General features: G+C 37.0%; 1 protein-coding gene across 26 annotated transcripts in view; it reads left to right on the top strand.

Annotated features, from left to right (window-relative positions):
* Nucleotides 1-21,401, top strand: part of PDE4D (phosphodiesterase 4D) — a 1,553,091-nt gene that overhangs the window by 1,071,751 nt on the left and 459,939 nt on the right. Inside the window, exons 2-3 of one of the 26 annotated variants that reach the window (NM_001349242.2) lie at nt 15,754-15,936; nt 19,898-20,084. The exons of the other annotated variants lie outside the window; for them this stretch is intronic. Coding sequence (NP_001336171.1) covers nt 19,960-20,084 — 125 coding nt within the window. The 5' untranslated portion in view covers nt 15,754-15,936; nt 19,898-19,959. The remainder of the gene's footprint in view (nt 1-15,753; nt 15,937-19,897; nt 20,085-21,401) is intronic. 26 annotated transcript variants of the gene reach the window in all.

The following is a 21,401-nucleotide window of genomic DNA, read 5'->3' as shown; positions in this document are numbered from 1 at the left end:
TGACAGAGTGATTGAGTTGTGAACTTATTGTTATGAATTGAAACTTATTTTAGAGAAAAAATCTTAAATAACACATTCCATCTTACTTATAGTTCATAGGTCAGAGAAAGACTGTGGTGCTACAAAAACATTAGCCAATATATTATTTGCTTTCACGCTAAGTGTAATGTGTGTAACATGCTATCTCTTTGAAATTTTTTGCCTTAAAAATGCTAATCAGTTGGCACAAGGCGATCATTTACATAGTCAGAATAGAGCTTTTGGTTTAGCATTTTATCTTAAAATAAGGCAGAAATGGCATTGCTCTGGATGTCAGTATGGTGCATTATAACCCAAGTGGTGGAAAAATAACTGCTAAATGGCAAACACATAGAAACTGAATTCTGCTAGTCAGCTTCCATTTGGTAGAGATATGTGTGCCCTTGGGTAGCTGCAATGTTAGCTATTATTAATAGTTCAAATCTTTGCTTCATAAAAGTTCTGCATATAGTGTTGTACAAATTGAAGTGATTCAAGGAAATCATAGTTCTGTGGAGCTTCCTCCCTGTTTTGTAGTGGAGATTGGGAATGGGGGTGGACCATAAAGTAGGTGGTTTTTTTTTTCCTGCCACTCTTAACTAATTACACACCCTGCCATATCCCCCACCAACATAAGACTTCAGACTGAGAAAACCTACATAATTTAACCAATGTTAGAATATAGGCATTTTTAACGTGCTGAAAACAGTGTTGTTCTTTTGGTTCCTAAACTAAAATCATTTGATACATTTCTCTGTCCTATGAAGGAAGCCATGAATGCTATGAGTAAAGATATTTGTGGCAGGTAAGAAGAGGGAGTTAAGTAAGGGAGTTTAATATGAAAAATTCATATAAAGGCTCCAAGGTTAAATAAGGAATACTTTTGCACAATGGGTTCAAGGTTTTACTGGGTAGAGCATTTTTAAAGTTTTATAACGACGTTAGAAGGAATCGATTTGGGAGAAAAACTATATCTGCTTAATGTGAGGGAGCACTGTGGAAAATTTCCAGCACAAACTTTTCCTGGGCCTCAACATTTCTTGGTAATGAACCTAGATTTGGAGTGATCAAATAATTTGCTGTCTCAAGTAGTAAAAGGGGGACTATTACTAACTTCACAAGAAGACAGGCATAAACCCAGCAACATGTACAAAGCAGGATGATCTCAGGTAACTCAGGAAGATGCTGGAACACTCTGGGTGAAGGGCATTAATGCTGTTCACAGTGGAACACAGGACTGCTAATGGTATTTTTATGCTTTTATGCATCAAAAGCATTGTTCTTTGATTTGTAATCTCTCACATATGTGAAGCAGGGCCTTTCAATCTGGATTTGGGGTCAGAAGACAACATGTGGATGGGAGGCAGAAAATTATAACAGACTCACCTGGGGAGCAGTTTTTTGTTGTTGTTGATATTCCCTAGCTGCTGGGAATGGTGGCTCACTCCTGTAATCCCAGTGCTTTGGGAGGCCAAGGCGGGAGGATCACTTGAGCCCAGAAGTTCAAGACTAGCCTAGGCAACTTAGCAAGACCCCATCTCTACAAAATTTAAAAAAATATTAGCTGGGCATGGTGGCATACACCTGTAGTATCAGCTACTCAGGAGGCTGAAATGGGAGGATCGTGTGAGTCCTGAAGTCAAGGTTGCAGCGATTGTGCCACTGCACTCTAGCCTGGATGTCCTTCCACCTCCCCCGCCAAAAAGGGATATTCCAAAACTACAACATTCTACTACATTATTCTACATTCTTCCTTTTTACTCTCCATATTGATACAGAAACAAAACAAAACACATTTGAGACTTACCACTGCAAAAGAGTGTTCTTTGAATTGTGGCTGCAATTATTTCTGTTGCAAACTTTAGTGTATTATTGTTATAATGATACTTGAAGTAATACCCAGATGTATTGAAAATTCAAAAGACTTCATTGCCAGCTCAACCTGCACTCTCAAGCACTGCTTACTAAGGGAGTAACAATGGGAAGAGACAGGTGTGAGAACAGACCCCAGAGCCAGGGAAATGAACATGGAGAAGGGAAATAGGCAAAATCTCCTCATCAGTGTGGTTGAGGGAATATTGGGGCATGGCATGGAGAGTCCCACCTCACTTGGCAGCCAGAGAATCTTAAAGCTTATTGTCAAAAACCTTATGAAAGGTTAGAGAAGGTACCATTTTATTTTACAAAATACTTTAGCCTTTACCAGCTCAACATCCGTGTGTCAGCCTGCTTTGAATAAAGAAATACACGTCTTCTTAAAATCTGCCCCTGACTACGATGAGCTTCTTTGTTTCAGCTTATTTTGACTAATTAGGCTGAGGTTACAAACCACCCTGATATTTCAGTTGCTACAGCCACAGTCTTATTTCTTGCTCTCATTACTTGTTCTTGGCTGGATGATATTGATATGTTCGTTTTGTTCTGGAACCAACCCTAAATGAGCTGCCCATCCTGAGAAGGCAGAAGAAATTGGGAGATGGCAGGGGCACACAGTGATTTTTTAAAACTTCTGTTTAGAAATGCCACAGATCTCTTCCATGCACATGCCATTGGCCAAAGTGGGTTGCAAGATCAGCTTGGTGTCAGTGGGGCAGGAAGTATAATCCTGGCACAATAATGGGCTTGGAAAGCTGTTAAACATTTTTACAATAACACAATCAGATTCTTTCAAATTAATTACAAAAGTACTTAAAGTTTTTTACATACATTCTGTGCACTGTCCCAAAGCTATATCTAATGTTACTTCCTCATTCCGATGAATTACTATTCCTTTTCTTCTTAGCTGTGTTTAAAAGCCCATACATCTATCCTGTGATAATTTGTACACTGTATTGTGCTTGGTTTACTTGTCTCTCTCCTTCCCTCAGTGGTGGGCCCTTGGAGGGCAGGAGCAATGTGATATTCATCCATGAGACCCAAGTGTGTGATTGGTGCACAATGGACACCCTAAAAAGTGTTTATTGATAATTAATGAATTAATAGCTAAATGAGGGAGTGTTTTCTTTACCTTCCCTACACTCACCTTTTCTCCATTCCAGCAAGCAATCTTGCACATGGAGTAGAAATCACAGTGGAATCTTGAAGAATAACTAGAAGGTTACCAGATGAGAAAGTACAGGGAGGTAAATCAGGGAAGAACAGCTGATAGATTCAGTTGTAGCCATGTTGAGTGAAGGTAAGATTCTTGGATTTTGCTTCATGAACTCGAAAGTCTACATAACATCAATCTTGGCCACTGCCAAGTCTGACCCATCTCACAGCACCAGAGGATTGGGGTAGTAAACTGCAGATGTAGCACCCACAGGCTGACCAGTCTGACCCTCATTAGGTTCCCCAAAAATCAAATCTCTAATGCACCTGCATGGATGCTGCAAAGGAATGTGCACTAAAGGAATGTGAAAGCGATAACTATTTTTCATTATTTCTGATGAGACATTTTAGCAATTATGTTAAAATCTGCACAACCAAAAAGTCTAAACAGAGCGTGAACCTCTGACATTGACTCTGGAAATTACACACATTTTGTTTTACTATTTTAAAAACACACATGAACCGAAGAGAAAAGAGGCAGAAAGACTGGCTAGAACACAGCAGAACTTACCCATTAATGTAATGGAGTTTGAGCCTTTCTCAATGATGCCTGTGGGGAGCTCCGTACTAGTAATATCTCAAGGATATTGCCATTGTTCAAACATTTCAGGGATTCCCCTCTTGAACTTACCTTCAAAAGAGCCTTTGCTACATGTTTTTGAAATTCATTGATGACAAATCTCCATCTGTTGAAGGTTTATCTAGTTCTATGAAGCTGCCAAAAGTCCTTTGGCATTAAGCCTGATGATTAAAGTTGATGATCCAGTTAGCGAATGCTATTTTGAGTCAAAATGAGAAGTAACTATAAAATTAAGAGGCAGTTTTCTTATGCACACTGGAAGTGCCCTGTAATGATAATTCCCAAAGAGAATGTCAAAAATGTCTTTAATCCTAATAGAATTCACTATATTTTTTTCATTGAAATAAATATTTAGGAAACATTGGTTTGAATTTGCATATGGTATACATGTTTGAAGAATCACTCTTGTTACTATATAGGTAACACTTATAAGTGTTAAAATTATCAAGTTACTTAAGTACTTATAATGAATATAAATAAAATGATCCATTGATATTTGTCTATATATTTTTATACATAAAAGATTGTATATGTTATATAATATATGTGTATACATATAGCACAATGACCAAATTAAATTGTCTTTGCAGCTATTTTTAATTAAAACATTTTCACATTACGCTTTCTTAAACAATTGCCTCTGTTATATCAGAAGCCAAAACTGGCAAATTATATTAGCTCAGTTATTTAGTTACTGGGGACTCTATCTTTAAACCAACCATGGGAATTCATTTATAGCTACTCAACACTCAGGTATGTATGACCATGGGGCAGACAAAAGACTGCTTTAAAAATCACTGATGTGTATCATGCTTTTTCTTCTTCTTTAGTATTTCTAGCCATCAAAAAGAAATTATATTGTGAGGCAGATGGCAGTAATATATTTTTCAAAAGTGAATTATATCCTGTTTCCCCATATAGGTAGGTAAATAAATAAATAAATAAATTCTATATAAGCAACATGACATAATTCCCAGACTATGAATTTCTGCTAATCTGAAGCATTTGATTAAGACTGGATTTAAACTATGCTTACAAGTTGCCGGAAACTACTCAAAAAGGCTACATTCTGTTAACTGTGTTATTTTTGTCTGTATTATGTCAAATAATTTTGACTAAATCATTGGTATTATCAAGGTCATGTAGAAGTCTTCTTAAATTCTGATTAAATAATCGACTTTCTTTACAACTACAGACAAATTGCAACAGAATCTGTATTTTCAGGCAGTTCAGCCTGCATAGGGTCAATTTAATACCATATAAATGTTGGGAACAGAATTATCAGAAACTTCAGATATGTCACCATAAGCCAGATGAACAATATATGTCAGTACCATTGGGGGAGTATTTGCCAGCATAAACTGGATATGTTTCTTGAATGCATGAAAAATGTGGTACTGAATGATTCTTCCTTCACTAAAATTGACTTATTTATCTTGATTTAAATATAGGCATACATTGGTAAATAAAACCTAGGTTTTTTCATAATATATTAGAGAATTTTTGATACATAACAAATGAGGTAATTCCAGATCGATTGGAATTCAGGTTTAGTGCTTCGTAAAGAGTTGAAAATAGTTCCTGGTAGGTAAGTAAATTGTGGTGGGAAGGACAGGACATTCTCTAAAAGTGCTTGGTTTTAGAGATGTTTTGGTTAAGAGTTTGACCAGGTGGTAGCAGATTTACTTTTTCCTAACTCAGTTTTACTTGAAAGGCCTTCAGATTAAATACTTACAGAACCAGGAAGAAATGTATCTGAGTTACAGAACTTGAATGGGGATTGTCAAACTGGAGAATGCTTGCCCCATCTGAAGGAGATAGCTGGCAATATGTAGGGAGGGGAACTCTAGGTATTTTTGTTTGTTTGTTTGTTTGTTTTTGAGGCGGACTCTCGCTGTCACCCAGGCTGGAGTGCAGTGGGGCGATCTCGGCTCACTGCAAGCTCCGCCTCCCAGGTTCATGCCATTCTCCTGCCTCAGCCTCCGGAGTAGCTGGGACTACAGGCACCTGACATCACGCCCGGCTAATTTTTTGTGTTTTTAGTAGAGACGGGGTTTCACCGTGTTAGCCAGGATGGTCTCGTTCTCCTGACCTCGTGATCCGCCCGCCTCGGCCTCCCAAAGTGCTGAGATTACAGGCGTGAGCCACCGCGCCCGACTGGGAACTGAAGGTTTTAAACCTCCTAAACATTCAAAAGAAGCCCAAATCTCAACTTTAATGTGACATTTTCTGTGTGCTTTAAATGTTGGATCAAAAGGAAAAACAAAATTAAAAATATGTTGGACAAACTCAGGCCTGCTGTCCATATTTGATCCAAGGAGGACCAATTTACCCACTCTATCCTACACCTTTCAGGTCATAGCATTTTCCTTTGTTATCTTTCGGCATTAATGTCATATTCCAATTTTTCCATATCTATGAGCAAGGCCCAAGGTCTGTAGCCAAGCCCAGGGTTTGCATGTGATATCTTTAGAAAAACCCCAGAGAAGCTTTCTCTTGTTTTCTCACTATGCTGTAAGTATGAATAGCCCAAAGCAAAAAAGACAAGTACCCTGACTATCATGATCTTCTAAGTATTCATGGAGCTCGCTAAAATTATAGTTCCCTGTGAAGAGCGTGTCGTTGCAGAAAAGCACTGGAGAGTGGGCTTAGATACCTTCCTGTTTGATCTCAATAGTTTAATGTTTACTAGCTCACTGAGAAGAGACTGCCACCTTAGTGTTACCCTCTTGTACCACCCTAAACAAGTCATTTATTTCTCTTGTTTTCTCTCTTTAAAAAAATTTCCATATGAAATTCTGTGATTTTTTTTCCCCTCATTACCTATTTTCTATCATCATTGTATCCAAAAGGTCAAGAGAGAGAAAAGGCCACTTCTCCATTGACTGGTTATCTCTTAGACTGTATGACAGCAAAAATATAAGCAAGGGTTAAATTTCAAATGCATCCACTCTGCTCATACACATTTGTGATTTAAAAAACACACTTCATTGAATAATTTAAAATATGGTTGTACCATCTGTTCTTGTGGGGATTAACATTGTTCATGATGGCAAAATAATCACGTTAAATAAATTCTAGATACTGCACTCTTATTATTAATAATAGCAATGATATTGTTAGTTCAGATGACCCGGCCTTTTCTGTCTCCATATAATCACACTATTGATTTTCCAGTATTGGAAAGGAGAACGAGAGAGTACATGCTTTTATTTCTAAATGGAACATGCTGTTCAGGAATTCTGCCATTTCTTTTATGGAAATAAAAAATAAAGTGCAAACATATGCCATCTTTGAAGGTAACATTATGTAAGCCTTTGAGTATAACATTTGCTGTCTTTATCTATTTCTTTGTGTCTATTCATAAGAAAAATGATCAGATTGTCAAATTCATATTCTAGAAACTACGCAATCAATTTTTTTTCAGGCATTCTGTCGTCTGCCTGGAATGAGATTAGCAAAAGAGTCGTTGTGTAAACTGAATTAGTTTACTTCATGCGAGCATTGATTTTACATTCCCTGAACTCTTATAACATTTTATGTTTGAGCCACACAGTAGGTACTATCTCACATTGACTGAGAATTTATTGTGTTTAAGTCATTTCTTCTAAAAAGTATTGTAAGCTTTGTGAGGACAGGGGCCATTTTATTTTTCTCTTGTATCTGTTGAAATTTCCCACTCTGCTGGGTTTTTCTAAGGTCAAAATAAATTAGAATTAAGTGATTGACTTTTTAATGTTGTATAGTGGTGGGAAAAGGTTAAAAAGAGTTGCTTTTCGTAGCAAGATGGTATGGGCCAATGACTTCTACCAACAACTAATTCGGTGATATAAATGATATACTCTTAGCTTGGGCTTTTCCTCTGTGAACTTCTATGGCAATTGGGTGTGGACAAATGGGTCCTTGAAGATATTTTGAAAATTTCCCCAACAAGAACCCAGTGCTTAATGACCCTCTACTGCCAGGTAACCTTCCTAGGTTGCTGCACCTATTCCCTCTGCTTTTCTTTAAAATCACATACTTTTATATTTCCTAAGAGAAGGTAGAATGTAATAGGCATCATTAATTTTTGCAGAAAGTCTCCAAAACATGTTGTTAAATCACCGCTGTCTTCTTACCTCCAGGCAAAAAGGTACCAACTTATTTAAATATTTGTTCACTCACATTATGTGCTCCTGTGAATTTTCTCTGGGTGTCACTCTTCACAGTGAGTATGAGCTCTCATTTAATCTCTTTCAAGGGAAAATGAGCTCAAAGACCCTGATGTTGCAACTTGACCTCCTTGAGTTTGTATTAAGCTGTTAACTTGCTGATTTGTCCCTAGTTTATCTATTATGAAAACTTGGATGTTGTCAAACCACATTTTCATTCCCCAGTCTGTGTTCACTATTTGATGTTCCCCACAAGTTACACTGCCTTGGTCTCAACTAAATTGGTTTTCTATATTACAAAGTCAATTTAATATCTGAATGATCTTCCAAGATACTGCCTATAATTTCTTTTACTTCTCTCTCACAAAGCCTTATCTTTCATTAATAAAAAATGGTCCCAAAGCCCATTGTTATCATTTGCATTTCCCACTTTACACAAAACTAGCCATAATCTCACTATCACTTGTCTGGTAACTCAGGAATATGCTGTATAAATAGTGTATTTTTTATTTTGGTAAAATATTTGCAAAAGTATCTTGTGGTAGCTATAATGGATGTGTGAATTGGATAAAAATACTATTAAGTGTGTTTTTTCCTAGTTGAACAACATAGATAAAGAATACTGAGTAAAGACTAAATATTTGCCTGGATGGAAGACCGTTCATCCAATCAAACAAATATACAGAAACATAAAGAGATAGTAAATACACTGGAATGCAAAGTCAGAGTCAATAGTTATTTAAGCTTGCTAATAAAAATGACTGCAATTTCAAGTGCACAGTTAATTAGAATTGGATGGTAGAGGCCCAAGGGTGATGGCATGTAAATGAAGAATATGTGAGGAATTCTGTCTTAAGCCTTATTCATAGATGTACAGCAGAGAAATTAAGCTGACTGACATTCTGTGCCCTGCAATCGTCATATCACACCTGGGGTGTGGGATTCATTTCAGATACCACAGGTTAAGAGGAAATCAACAAGGAGCAATCAGTCCAGAAGGGTGTTGCCAGGATGGTGAAGCATCTGGGAATCATGATGTCTTCGGAACTGCCAAAAGAACCGAGACTGATGTGGCCTGGAAAAGGGAGAGAATAAAAACTCCTGTTTAGATAATCTGAGGTTTTCATATTAAAAAGATTCAGGGCCAGGTGCAGTGGCTCACGCCTGTAATCGCAGCACTTTGGGAGGCCAAGGCAGGTGTATCGCTGGAGTCCAGGAGTTCAGGACCAGCCTGGGCAACATGGTGAATCACTGTCTCTCCTAAAAATTTTTAAAAAATTAGCTTGTGCAGTGGCCCATACCTGTAATTCCAGCTACTCAGGAGGCTGAGCTGGGAGGATTGCTGGAGCCCAGGCTGTGGAGGCTGCAATGAGCCGAGATCACACTACTGCACTTCTGCCTGGGTGACAGAGTGAGACCCTGCTTCTAAATAAATAAATAAGACTCAGGCTTGTTTTTGAATGACTATGATCAAAGAATAGCACTTTTAGAAAGGTGAAATTTAGTTTGATACAAAGAACTTTTCAATATTTAAATCTTCAAACTTTTCAATATTTAAATTTTCGATATTTAAATCTGCTCAAAGATAAGCATTTAAATCTGCTCAAAGATAAGCATACCATGAAGCAGGGCTCCTCATGCCAGAACCAGATATTTGTTTTTCCTTCAAGGCTGTTCATGCATTAGGGGAAGACTGAATTTCCCATGGCTTCTAATGAACCTTTTAACTATGAGGATCTGTTACATGAAAATTTTTTTTTTCAAGATGGAGTTTCGCATTTGTTGCCCAGGCTGGAGTGCAGTGGTGCAACCTCGGCTCACCACAACCTCCGCCTCCCAGGTTCAAGCAATTCTCCTGCCTCAGCCTCCTGAATAGCTGGCATTAGAGGCATACACCACTATGCACAGCTAATTTTGTATTTTCAGTAGAGATGGGGTTTCCCCATGTTGGTCAGGATGGTCTTGAACTCCCAACCTCAGATGATCTGCCCGCCTCAGCCTCCCCAAGTGCTGGGATTATAGGTGTGAGCCACCGCGACCAGTGTTACATGAAAAATTCTTAGAATAGTGCTTGATGGCACCAAGTAAATGTTCAATAGATATTAGTTGTAATTGTTATCAGTAGTGACTATTCTATGCATTTGTAACTGATTATTTTTTGGATGGGAATAAGTAAAGGTGTTTAAAATGTTAGCACCGGTTTCTGTTGCTAAATAATTAAGGTAGTTAGTAAGGTCTTAGGCTACTTGTAACTAATTTACTCTTAATTTGTCACCACTTTATGTTTTCCATTATTGCCTTTACATTCTATGTTACCTAGATTTGGGATTAATTCATCAAATTTAATATGAAAACTTTAAGTGACTGCTAAATCACAATTGCATATATTAAATTATCTAGTGATAACGTAGCAATAGTCTATCAAGAAAGGAATGAATCATGACCGAAAAAATGAATCTCTTTCATTAATTAAGAGAGATGTTTCAGTTTAGAAACTTACAGAATCTTAATGGTTAAGCTCTAGGTGACGTTAGCTTCATTGGATTATTTTCTCAGGTGACAGATTTGCTACATCTTAGGATGGCAGCTAATATCTATTGAAGGTATTCATTCATTCACTCACTTCCTAATTTATTTAACAAGCAGTGTACCAACCACTGCCCATGCCTGCACCTAGCTGCTTACCTCTACAGAGTGTTTTCTACCCTTTTATCCCTTTTTGAGTCAGTCATCACAGGAAGACCAGCCTCTCAGTCATCCTATGTCCCCTATATCCCAACCCCAAGGGCTCCATGGCAGCAAAGCAGTCCCTCTTCTCACCCCATCCCTGAACTCCTTGGGCTCCTTCCCTGCTGTATTTTCCTCTGTATCAGTTATCATTTCTCTTATATATTTTACTTACTATGTCCATTTACCTATCTCTACTGGAATGTCAGCTCCATAAAGGCAGGAATATTTGCATGTGTTCTATTTGCTACTGGGTACCCAGAGCCTAGAATAGTAACTTGATAAATATTTGTTGAATGAGTGAATAAGGCCTAAGTGTCATGGAAACTGATACCAGAAAGGTGTTATTTCTTCCCCAGGGTTACCGAAGCCATTTATGGCAGCGCAGCATTGTGACCCAAAGTCACTTGGCTCTGAAACCAACATCCCCATTCTTTTTTTTTTTTTTTTTTTTGACAGAGTCTTGCTCTGTCACCCAGGTTGGAGTGCAGTGGCACGATCTTCACTCACTGCAACCTCTGGCTCCCAGGGTTCAAGCAATTCTCCTGCCTCAGCCTCCGAGGTAGCTGGGATTACAGGTGTGTGCCACCATGCACAGCTAATTTTTGTATTTTTGGTAGAGACGAGGTTTCACCATGGTGGTCAAGCTGGTCTCGAATTCCTGACCTCAAGTAATCCACCCACGTCGGCTTCCCAAAGTGCTGGGATTACAGATGTGAGCCACTGCACCCAGCCCCAACATATTCATTCTTGATCTCTCCCTGCAAGCAAATAACTTTGAAATTATGCTGAATAAACTCAGGGATCTAGAGATATTTGACAATGACAATGATATTTCACTGCTGTATGGATTTAAATACAAGGAGACAACTTTTGTATCATTTACATTTAGGAGAACATTCAGGTCAATATTTGCCTGCCTAATTTATCTCCATGTGGATCACTTTTGTTTCTTTTCTAGATGTATTCAATCTGATTTAGTTTATTATGAGTTTCTCTATTATTTGTTTTTTTTTCCTTGGATCATTGATGCAGACCCTAGAAGAGGTGGAGTACAGAAATAGATTTGGAGAAGCAATAATGAGTAAGCCTCAGTCTTTGCCTCTGAGATGCATTCAGAAGTGGTTGAGGCAACATTGTAAGTGTGCAGTTCCAGAGCCAGAAGATAACCAGATAATTTATAATCCAAGCAATAATATTGCAAAAGTAAAAGGAGGCACTATTTAATCATCATTCCAGGGCAATAGCTGTATACTATTCAGACAAACTGAAGAGTAAAGTCCCCTAGTTTAAAAACTCGACAAACGTAAAATATGCTTGCACATCTTTTTAGTAATAAATATTTACCTTGCATCTACTATTTTCAGAGACACATACTAGGCACTGTAGCAATATATATAGAACAGTGTACAGGGCACTGTGGTGAATTTAAAGACAAGTCATATATCTTCCTATCTTGTGGTTCAGAATTCACTTTAGGACAGAGAACATTAAAAATACAATAAAAAGCAGTAAATGATGGTGCAAGCTGAATTAAGCTTGATGTGATGTTAGCCAGCCACAAGGTTTCCAACAGAATTACTGATATGATTTGGCTGTGTACCCACCCATATCTCATCTTGAATCCTAGTTCCCATTGAATTATAGTTCATTTCTATAATTCCTATAGTTCCAATTTTATAGTTCAGCCAACAATCCCCATGTGTTGTGGGAGGGACCCGGTGGGAGGTAACTGAATCATAGGAGCAGTTTCCCCCATGCAGCTGTCGTGATAGTGAGTTTCTCATGAGATCTGCTGGTTTTATAAGCTTCTAGTGTTTCCCCTGCTGGCACTCATTCTCTCTCCTGCCACCCTGTGAAGAGGTGCCTTCTGCCATGATTGTAAGTTTCCTGAGGCTTCCCCAGCCATGCAAAACTGTGAGTCAATTAAACCTCTTTTCTTTATAAATTACCCAGTCTCAGGCATTTCTTCATAGCAGCATGAGAACAGACTAATACGCTGATGCTGTACCACTTTTATTTCTATCTCATAATATTGTCAATTGAAATCAGTCCTGTCTTGATGCATGAATTGCACATCAAATGAATTGTATGCTTTTTTTTTTTCCTAGATAGGAGTTATGCCATCTACTTCTTGTGTGTATACATAGTACATGCTCAATTAATGCTGGCTGGCTGGTTGGGGTAGAAAAATGAATTGATAGATTTAAAAAAGTCATCTGGCAACCAAATATAGAGCCTTGTTTGCCAAAGACCCCTCCTCTTTGCTGAACTAGCTAGTTGACAGAGTAAGAACTTGCAGCATGATTATTTTTTATCTTACAACTTTATAATGATACATTTGGTTATTTGGAAATAAGTTTAAAGTGTTTTAATTCTTTCCACTGGTTCCTACTGTTGGAAATTCTTTTGCAGCTGAATATTGGCAACCGTTTGTATCTTGGCAAGTAGACTATGCTTTTTAAGGATGAAAGTGTGGGAAGTAGTATAGGACATCTGTCGAAGAAGTCATGTTGTCAAAGCCTGTTGTGTATATTAAACTCATTTGTTTCCATTTCTATACATTCTAAAGCAAAATGCCACTCCATTTAACATTCAAACAGCTTATAAAGAGCTTGGAAATATGAATTGTGTGGGCCTACCTGAAATTTCAATGAATGAGCATCATTTTATTCAGTTGGTTTTGTTGCTGCTTTAGCTCAGCCTAAACTTTGGATATATAATAGGTTTGTTGAGATAAGATTACCAGTAGCTAAGGGCTTTTGTTGGATGGGAGAATTGAAACCAGCATAATTTCCGGTACCTGTTAAATGGCACTTGGACCAGGCCTAATTTACTGTCCTTGTATTTAACAAAGCAGAACAAACAAAACTTACTTAGATACCTGATTCACTAACTTCCTCTTCTAAGGTATCCGTCCATGTGGTTTTCTCCTTTACTTAAGTAGGTTTAATAAACTTGCCTTTATGTGACCAACGGGTTTCTGTTGGGTTTTGGAGGCAATGACAGTTAATAGTAAAATAATATTTTGAGAGAAACCGCTCTCAAAGAGGCTCCATTAGCTGGAGAATAAAGCATTTTTAAAAAGATGAGACCTTATGCTTCATTCATCTCAAACTTACCTGCTTATAAAAACAAAACAGTTGATTGATTTGATCAAAAGTTATCCTTGTTATAAAATTAAGTGGGCCTGCTGACTAGCTGATTTATGGGATTTTATGTTCTTTAACTTCGAAGAAGACATACAATTCAGTCTCAACAGTTTTTACAATCTGAGAGATTAGGTCATGCTAATAAAATTTCTGAGAAACTACTTATCCATCTGAATGTTAACATCTTTTACTAGAATAGTATGTTTGTTTCAGTTGATGAAGACTTTTGTTTGGATGTAAGCTTTCAACTCATTTAGATAAATACCAAGGAAGTTTTTCAATATCATTATTTTAATGGATTCATGATATTCACATTGATTGGCTATTCCTTATTTTAAGTAGTTGGGCATTAAAGATATTTACATCTTTTTATTATTTTGTAAGACACTGTGATGACCTTCATGATAGTTAAATCTTCATTTGCACTGTTATTTCCTTCTGACTGTAGCCATTGTGTGTAAGACTGCAAAGTGTAATATATGCAGTGTTTAAGAGTAGATTAACAAGAAAAGCTAATGTATGAACATAAGTAGCTGACCCTTAATAGAAGAGTGTTTAATTAATTTTGAATTTGCCAGTACACTCTCAAAACACAGAGCTTGATTAAATAATGGCATTATACTGAGCTTATTCAAGTATTTGGATAACTTTTCTTTACTGAACTGAAACTGATAGCCCAGGCAGGCACATCTCCAACACCTCTAATTAAAATCCACATTCATCCCTTGCTTCCTGAGAAAAGATGTTGCTCTCATGTTCCTTTGGGCACTCTTTGCAAAGTATTTCTGTTTGATTGCATATGATGAATAGCTCCACTACTTCCAATGTATTTCAGTTGTCAAATATTTATAATTATTATTCTTGGGAAAGTAACTGAGAAGGGAGTTCAGGAAAGACTTGGACAGTTCTTTGGAGCATCAGGACCTTACAATTTCAGCTATCTTGTTCAATAAGCAAATGTTGTTTTAGGTTCCTGGATTACAAGGTCAAAGAAGGCAGAATTCCTGCCCTCAAGAAAAGTCATGGGGAAGAGTTGTAAATGCATGAACAGCTATGAAACAGTGTGGTAAAGTCATGTGAGTTGGCAAAATAGATGAGAGGCTTCTAAGTAAAACTGAGGAATGAAGAATGTTTTTTGGAAGAGATTACGCTTAAAAGGAATTAGCCAGCCAGAGAAGAAAGAGAAAAATGTTCTTGCCAGAGTACCTATCATTTGGGAAGCCCCAGTGGGCCAGAAGAACAGACTGTGTACAGGAAAGACACTACCAAGTGTTATTTGTGGCTGATACAGGAGAGGAAGGGAGAGCAAAACAATAGAGCATCTCTGTGCTGAGTATTGGAATTTAAATTTTGAACTTCATTACTAAATAATGTGGAACTATTGGATAATTTCAAGCAAAGGACTCACATGTTCATGTCCTTGCATGAGTTTGCTAAGATTTCCATTTTAAGATAATCTTGGTAGGTAAGTGAAGGATAGATTTGAGGAGGAAAAAATGGAAATATTAACTCTAGGCAAAACATAGGGGGAAAGATAATTGAGAGAGATTAAAGAATGTGTAGAGAGGTAGAAGATATAGTCTGGTCTCTGGAATCAGATGAATTGGTTCCTAACTCTGACTCCACCACTTAACACTCTATGTGACCTTGGGTATATATCTTATCCCTCAGTGTCTTGTTTTTCTCATCTGAAAAATGAGTATAATAATAGGGCCCAACTCATATTTTATGAGAATTAGTCAACCTGCCAACCACAGTGCCTAGCACATTGAATGCATCTGATCAGTGTTAGCTATTATCTATTGACTATTAATATTATTGTTACTATCAATAGTATTCATGTCTCTAGGGTTTGTGACCTGATTAGCAGTTATTGTCTGGTTATTGGCTGAATGGTGGCCAGTACTAGGGAATATAAGAAGAAATGTGGGGAGAGGGAGTGGAGGAGGGGAGGAACACAGTTGATTTGAATTACATTATAAATGCTCAAATGAACTAGCTATGGAACTTACAAGTGGAATTTTCTCATGTGCAGCTGATGGTAACAGCAGAAAAATGTGAACTCTGAATAAAGAGGTGGGAGTTTTTCAGCACATAAAGAATATTTAAAGCCAATTCATTGGATGCATTGACCAGTAAGTGTAGAGATCAAAATCAAGAACAACTCCAAGAATTGAGAGCAGATGCAAACCCCAATTTTTGTGGGTCTCCAGTCCAGGTATGAGCAGAAAACACGAGGGTTGGGGAGGGAAGGAGTCTTCCAAGCCATAAGCCAGGGGAAATCGTTCAGTCAATTCTTATGCTCTGATGTGGTCATTAACAGATGATAACCTCATCCTAAAGATGAGACTTCTTTAGGAACATCCTAAAGATGAGACTTCTTTAGGAACATCCTAAAGATGAGACTTCTTTAGGAACATCCTAAAGATGAGACTTCTTTAGGAACATCCTAAAGATGAGACTTCTTTAGGAACATCCTAAAGATGAGACTTCTTTAGGAACATCCTAAAGATGAGACTTCTTTAGGAACATCCTAAAGATGAGACTTCTTTAGGAACATCCTAAAGATGAGACTTCTTTAGGAACATCCTAAAGATGAGACTTCTTTAGGAACATCCTAAAGATGAGACTTCTTTAGGAACATCCTAAAGAAGTTCCTCCAGCATTTAAAATTGCTAAACGTAGGCCAGGGTAGAGTTAAAGGCTGAAAGAACCTTAATTAATATGTATTATTCCAGTTATTAGAAGAAAAGTCCTATGGATTGAAATTGCTGCTTGCTGGCAATTACTTTTAATTGCTGTGCAGGGCATTATTAACGTTGCAACGTCTAGCATAGTGATGAAAATTGATGTTCCAGATGCTTTCATGTGAGTTCTCCTTTTCTTTTAATGTTCTCAAGAGCATAGAATCATGGGGATGATAAGTGAGATTTTTGCTAGACTCTATACCTGTCTTCCATAGAAATCCCAGTATGCAAAAACAAACAAAACATAGATGGGTAATCATGGCCATTCCTTAATAAGATTTGAGCCTTATTTGGAGGTAGGCCTGGTATGGATGGTAGCTCTAATCTTTAGATGAAATTAAACTCTCCAATGTGTTCTTATTTTCCTAAAGATCAAGTCCCCAACTACCTCTCTCCAGCCCCAGAGAAAGGGAATTGTTGACGATAGAAAGATTCCATTTTCTTCCCTTAAGGGCCACCTCCTGCTAGTTGGCCAGAGTTCTCACAGACTCTGAATTCTTGGCAGGCTGGAGTTTAACAGTAATCCTCTCTCATCCAAATTTAAGTACAGGTAATCCCCAGGAGCCCCTGCCAGGCTTTTGGTAAATAATTACCTGGGTACAAGCAAAAATGCCCCTGCTAAGAAAACTCTGGAATTTTACCCATCATAGGACACATAGGTCTCTACCATAGAGGTTTATATCTTATTCTTCAATTTCTGATTGTTACCCCTCCTAGGAAATTCTTATGTGAAGCAAATCTTATTCTCTTCTACTGGGCAATCTCCTAAATTAGCTGGCATGTGAAAATGCTTCATTGAGCTTTTGTTCTTCAGACTCTCAAATGAAGGAGTATGTCCAAAGAGCCTCTTTATGCAAAATCTACAAATTACACCCCAGTCATACATCACAATTAGTTGGCAGTCATTAGGCATTACATCCATATTGTAAAATTAGTGATGTTTCTCCCAAATTATGAAATATTATTCCCATTAAGAAAAATATACTGAAGAGTAAAAACATAACAGAATTTTTGCTATATTTATTCTCTTCATAATTATGCAAATTAATAAAAATTATTTACTATTTACTAACTTTGCATTGAGTGTTCTCTCATTCTGATGAGACTCCAGACTTCTGCCTTTTGTACACCTGTGCAAAGCCTTTCTAAGCTGTTTATTTATGTCCCAATATATATTTCAGTTCAGAAAGGCTGTTCTTACTTTTGCGACACCTTAATAGTAGTTTTATTTCATCAAGGAACTGTATGCAATCACTGGATATTTCAGAGAGCTGCCTACCTTATTTTCATACTATAAAGAAATAAACTTGAATAACAATGGATAGTCTTGGCAGGAGTGTGGAGGAGTTGACATCTTCCAACATGACTGTGGGAATATGAACTGCCATAGCCTATTAAAGGGAAAAATGTTCACAATTTGTAAGCTAGCAATCCATTTTCAGAAATACAAGCACCAATCAGTAAGAATATATTAGCAAATGTGTTTATTGTTTATATGAGTCCAAAATTATATGTCCGTCAATAAAGGACTCATTGAATAAATAATGGTACATTTATGCCATGGAATCTTATATAACTATTGAAAAGAACTCACTAGGTCTCTGTGCATTCACAAAAATAATTTTTTCATGATTGACTTAATATTAATAAAGGATTATACATAGTATGAGCCCACTTTATTCAAAAAGGAAGGAGAATCCCTATACATGTGTGAGGGTTTGTGTATTGTGTGTGGTATATTTATATTTGTATAAATAAAAAGTTTGCTGTCTTTTCCCTCCCATTAATCCTACCAAGGAAGGGAAAAGACAGCAATCTTTTTTATCTTCACATTTCTGTGTCATTTGGCATGTTAAAAAAATAGCATGTATAATTTTGTAATTGAAACCTAAAATATAAGAAAGAAAATTATTGAATAGAAATGGTAAATACTATGCAGCCATAAAAAAGAATGAGAGCGTGTCTTTTGCAGGGACATGGATGGAACTGGAGGCTATTATCCTTAGCAAACTAACACAAGAACAGAAAACCAAATGCCACATGATCTCACTTACAAGTGGGAGATAAATGATGAGAACTCATGAACACAAGGAAGGACACAGACCCTGGGGTCTACTTGAGGGTGAAGGTGGGAGGAGGGAGAGAAGCAGAAAAGGTAACTATTGGGTACTGGGTTTAATATCTGGATGATGAAATAATCTGTACAACAAACCCCCATGGCACAAGTTTACCTATGTAACAAACCTTCACATCTACCCCCAAACCTAAAATACAAGATTTAAAAAAAAGGAAAATTATCTACTCTTTCAAACTTAAAATTTCTGGATTTTAACAGTGTCTGCTGTTTAAACCCAAACAGTGTCTGAATTTGGCTACTGAAGAATAAAATGTAGCCCTTTTTCAGCACACTGTATGTTTACCCAGGTCCCAGGATGCTTAAATAAACTGGCGTGTCTATTCAAATCCTGGATAAGAAATAATTTTTCAAAATAAAAATTATCTCACAGAATACTCTGAACACCTGCTACTCTCATTACCCTGAACACTTGTGGTTTTGTTGCTATAACTCTAGCAAATGGCATAAAGGCTAGAAAAACTGTGGGATAAAGATACAGCATTTCTCTAAGACCCTGCTGCCTTCAGTAGAATTATTTAATATCCTTTCTAATTTCTCCAACTTATTTTTCACTGTTATGAAAAAACAGCTTACAAAGAATTAGTAACATTCACTATCAATGATTCCATAGATCTTCGTTCAAAGTGCAGGTAGAAGGTGCATTTCTCAAAGAGTGTTTTAAACGAGGAAAAAAAATGTGTATCATCATCAACGTTTTAGTGAATAAAGACATTGCTTACCGTTTTTATGTTCCTGAGAGGCTAAGTTCAGTTCTATCATGAATAGTAATTTATGAATAAGAACCCACAATTTTTTTACCAGAGAATTGGAAAACCGCCCATAACATTTCCATATACCCATCTCATTTTCTAAGTATCTATAACAGTTTAGTGAACAATATTCCCTCTTCGAAAATATAGCAAATAATTATTTCCTTCCTATCAGATATGCATGCTTTGTTTACAGGTAAATAACTCTGATTACCAAACTACTATTACATTAGGTTGATGTTCTTTTCAACGTTAGACAAAAATGGATAAAACCTTGCTGCCTACTCAGAGATTTGGTCTGAGTGGAAATAGGCTTTTGTGGAGCTACAGAATTTCTGCTTTATCTACTCAGCCAATAATTGGTCAGAGCATGAGCCTGGTTAGAAATAAGCAAAAAGCTTCTTGTATCCATGAACAGAATGAACAGAAAACAAGGTAGTACATTTAGCCTCCGAGAAACACGCGTTTACTTTTGAAGCAAAGAAGCACCGGGCAACCAGTGAGCAGCATATGTCTGAAATCTATTATCTGACATGTTCTTTCCAGCCTTCCCAGGAATGCTGGTCTGACTACTCAGATTTGCTTTTACTTCTTGCCTTTTGGATATAATGAGTTTGCCAAGCAGCTGTGAGTACCTGACTCTGGGGAAGGTGGCTAGATTCCGAAGCGCTTATGTTCATGGATCACCATACGCGATCAACATGCCAATTGATATTAAGCCACAGAGGAGACGGTAACTGCTTTCCTTTCCTCTAGTTGTTTGTCAGTGAAAATGTGTTTTGTTGCCCTTTGGTAACTGCTTTGGATGTCTGCTGAAATGGGAGGGTCAGGGTGAGAAGTTAGTTTTTATTCAACACACTGGATAGTTGGGAAAAAAATTAACCAGAGAGGAAAGCTGGAAATAGTTTAGCTATTTAGCAAAAGCTGATCTGGTTTCAAGGTCTGTAGATTTTAAGAATTTGAGAGATTGTCAGTGCTTGTATTGCCATCAAAATCACCCATGATGAGAATTTGAAAGAGGATTTAGCCAAATAATGGATATATTTATTGATGGCTATATGGCTGTTTATACCAGATGCCCAGTAACTCATAATCTACATGTGACATTCCTTAATGCATCATAACACATTAATGCAATAAATGAGTTATAATTCTACAAAAACATTTGTTTTCCTGTAGTTGCTAGGGAGGGAAGAACAAGGTTATGTATTTTTCCTATAAAAAAGTTGTCATTTTAGATCTGTGTTCTACCCCCGACCCACCCTTTTTATGTAGTATCAGAATAGCGATGATATAGTTAACTAATATGTCCAAAAGTCACCCCTCAATTTTGGTTTTATACAACGTCATTTTCTTCAGCAATTAACAATGAACTTCAGAAGCATTTATAAAGATGTTCCATTCTCTCTGTGAAAATTCCATTTCTCCCTAATTTTATGAATCCACATAATGAAAATCCAAAATTCTAAAAGCAATGTATTTTACTTGGAAACTGTCATTACTATCTTACTCTTCTACTTTTCTTTTTCTAATTATATCTACACAAACTCACAAAGCATGCATTTTGCCAGATTTCACCTTATTATAAACATGAAGGGATGTTTAAGTGATTAAAAAGTTTCTAAACCTTCAGAAAGCTTTCTGATTTTTGTGAGACAATATTTTATTCTTTTCTCCAGAGTATCAAGGCTTTTCTGTCCAGCTCTATCACTATTTGACTTTATGACCGGCTAGCAGCACCAAGCAACTATTTTAAAATACATTCAGAAAAGTGTGTCCTAAGACACCCAACATGGCTCAGTTGCTGTCAGTTACCTCATTCCCTTCTTTAGTTGGTGGGACGATACTACAAATCCATACAAGTTGCAAAATCCACATGAATATCTAATGTCCCTGTTCATATTACCTTAATTTTTCTGCTTTAAAGTAATCAACTTTTTGTACAAGTCAGTCAAATTATGTTTTTATGTATATTGTGTATATGCATAGACCCAGAAAATTTCAGACATATACCTATTTAGGCTTAAAATTGGGCATCACAGTGTATTTT

The sequence above is a fragment of the Homo sapiens genome, chromosome 5 (assembly GCF_000001405.40).
Source record: "Homo sapiens chromosome 5, GRCh38.p14 Primary Assembly".
NCBI classification, from domain to species: domain Eukaryota; kingdom Metazoa; phylum Chordata; class Mammalia; order Primates; family Hominidae; genus Homo; species Homo sapiens.
The sequence above is the reverse complement of the archived record's forward strand: the minus strand, read 5'-3'. Positions and strand labels throughout refer to the sequence as shown.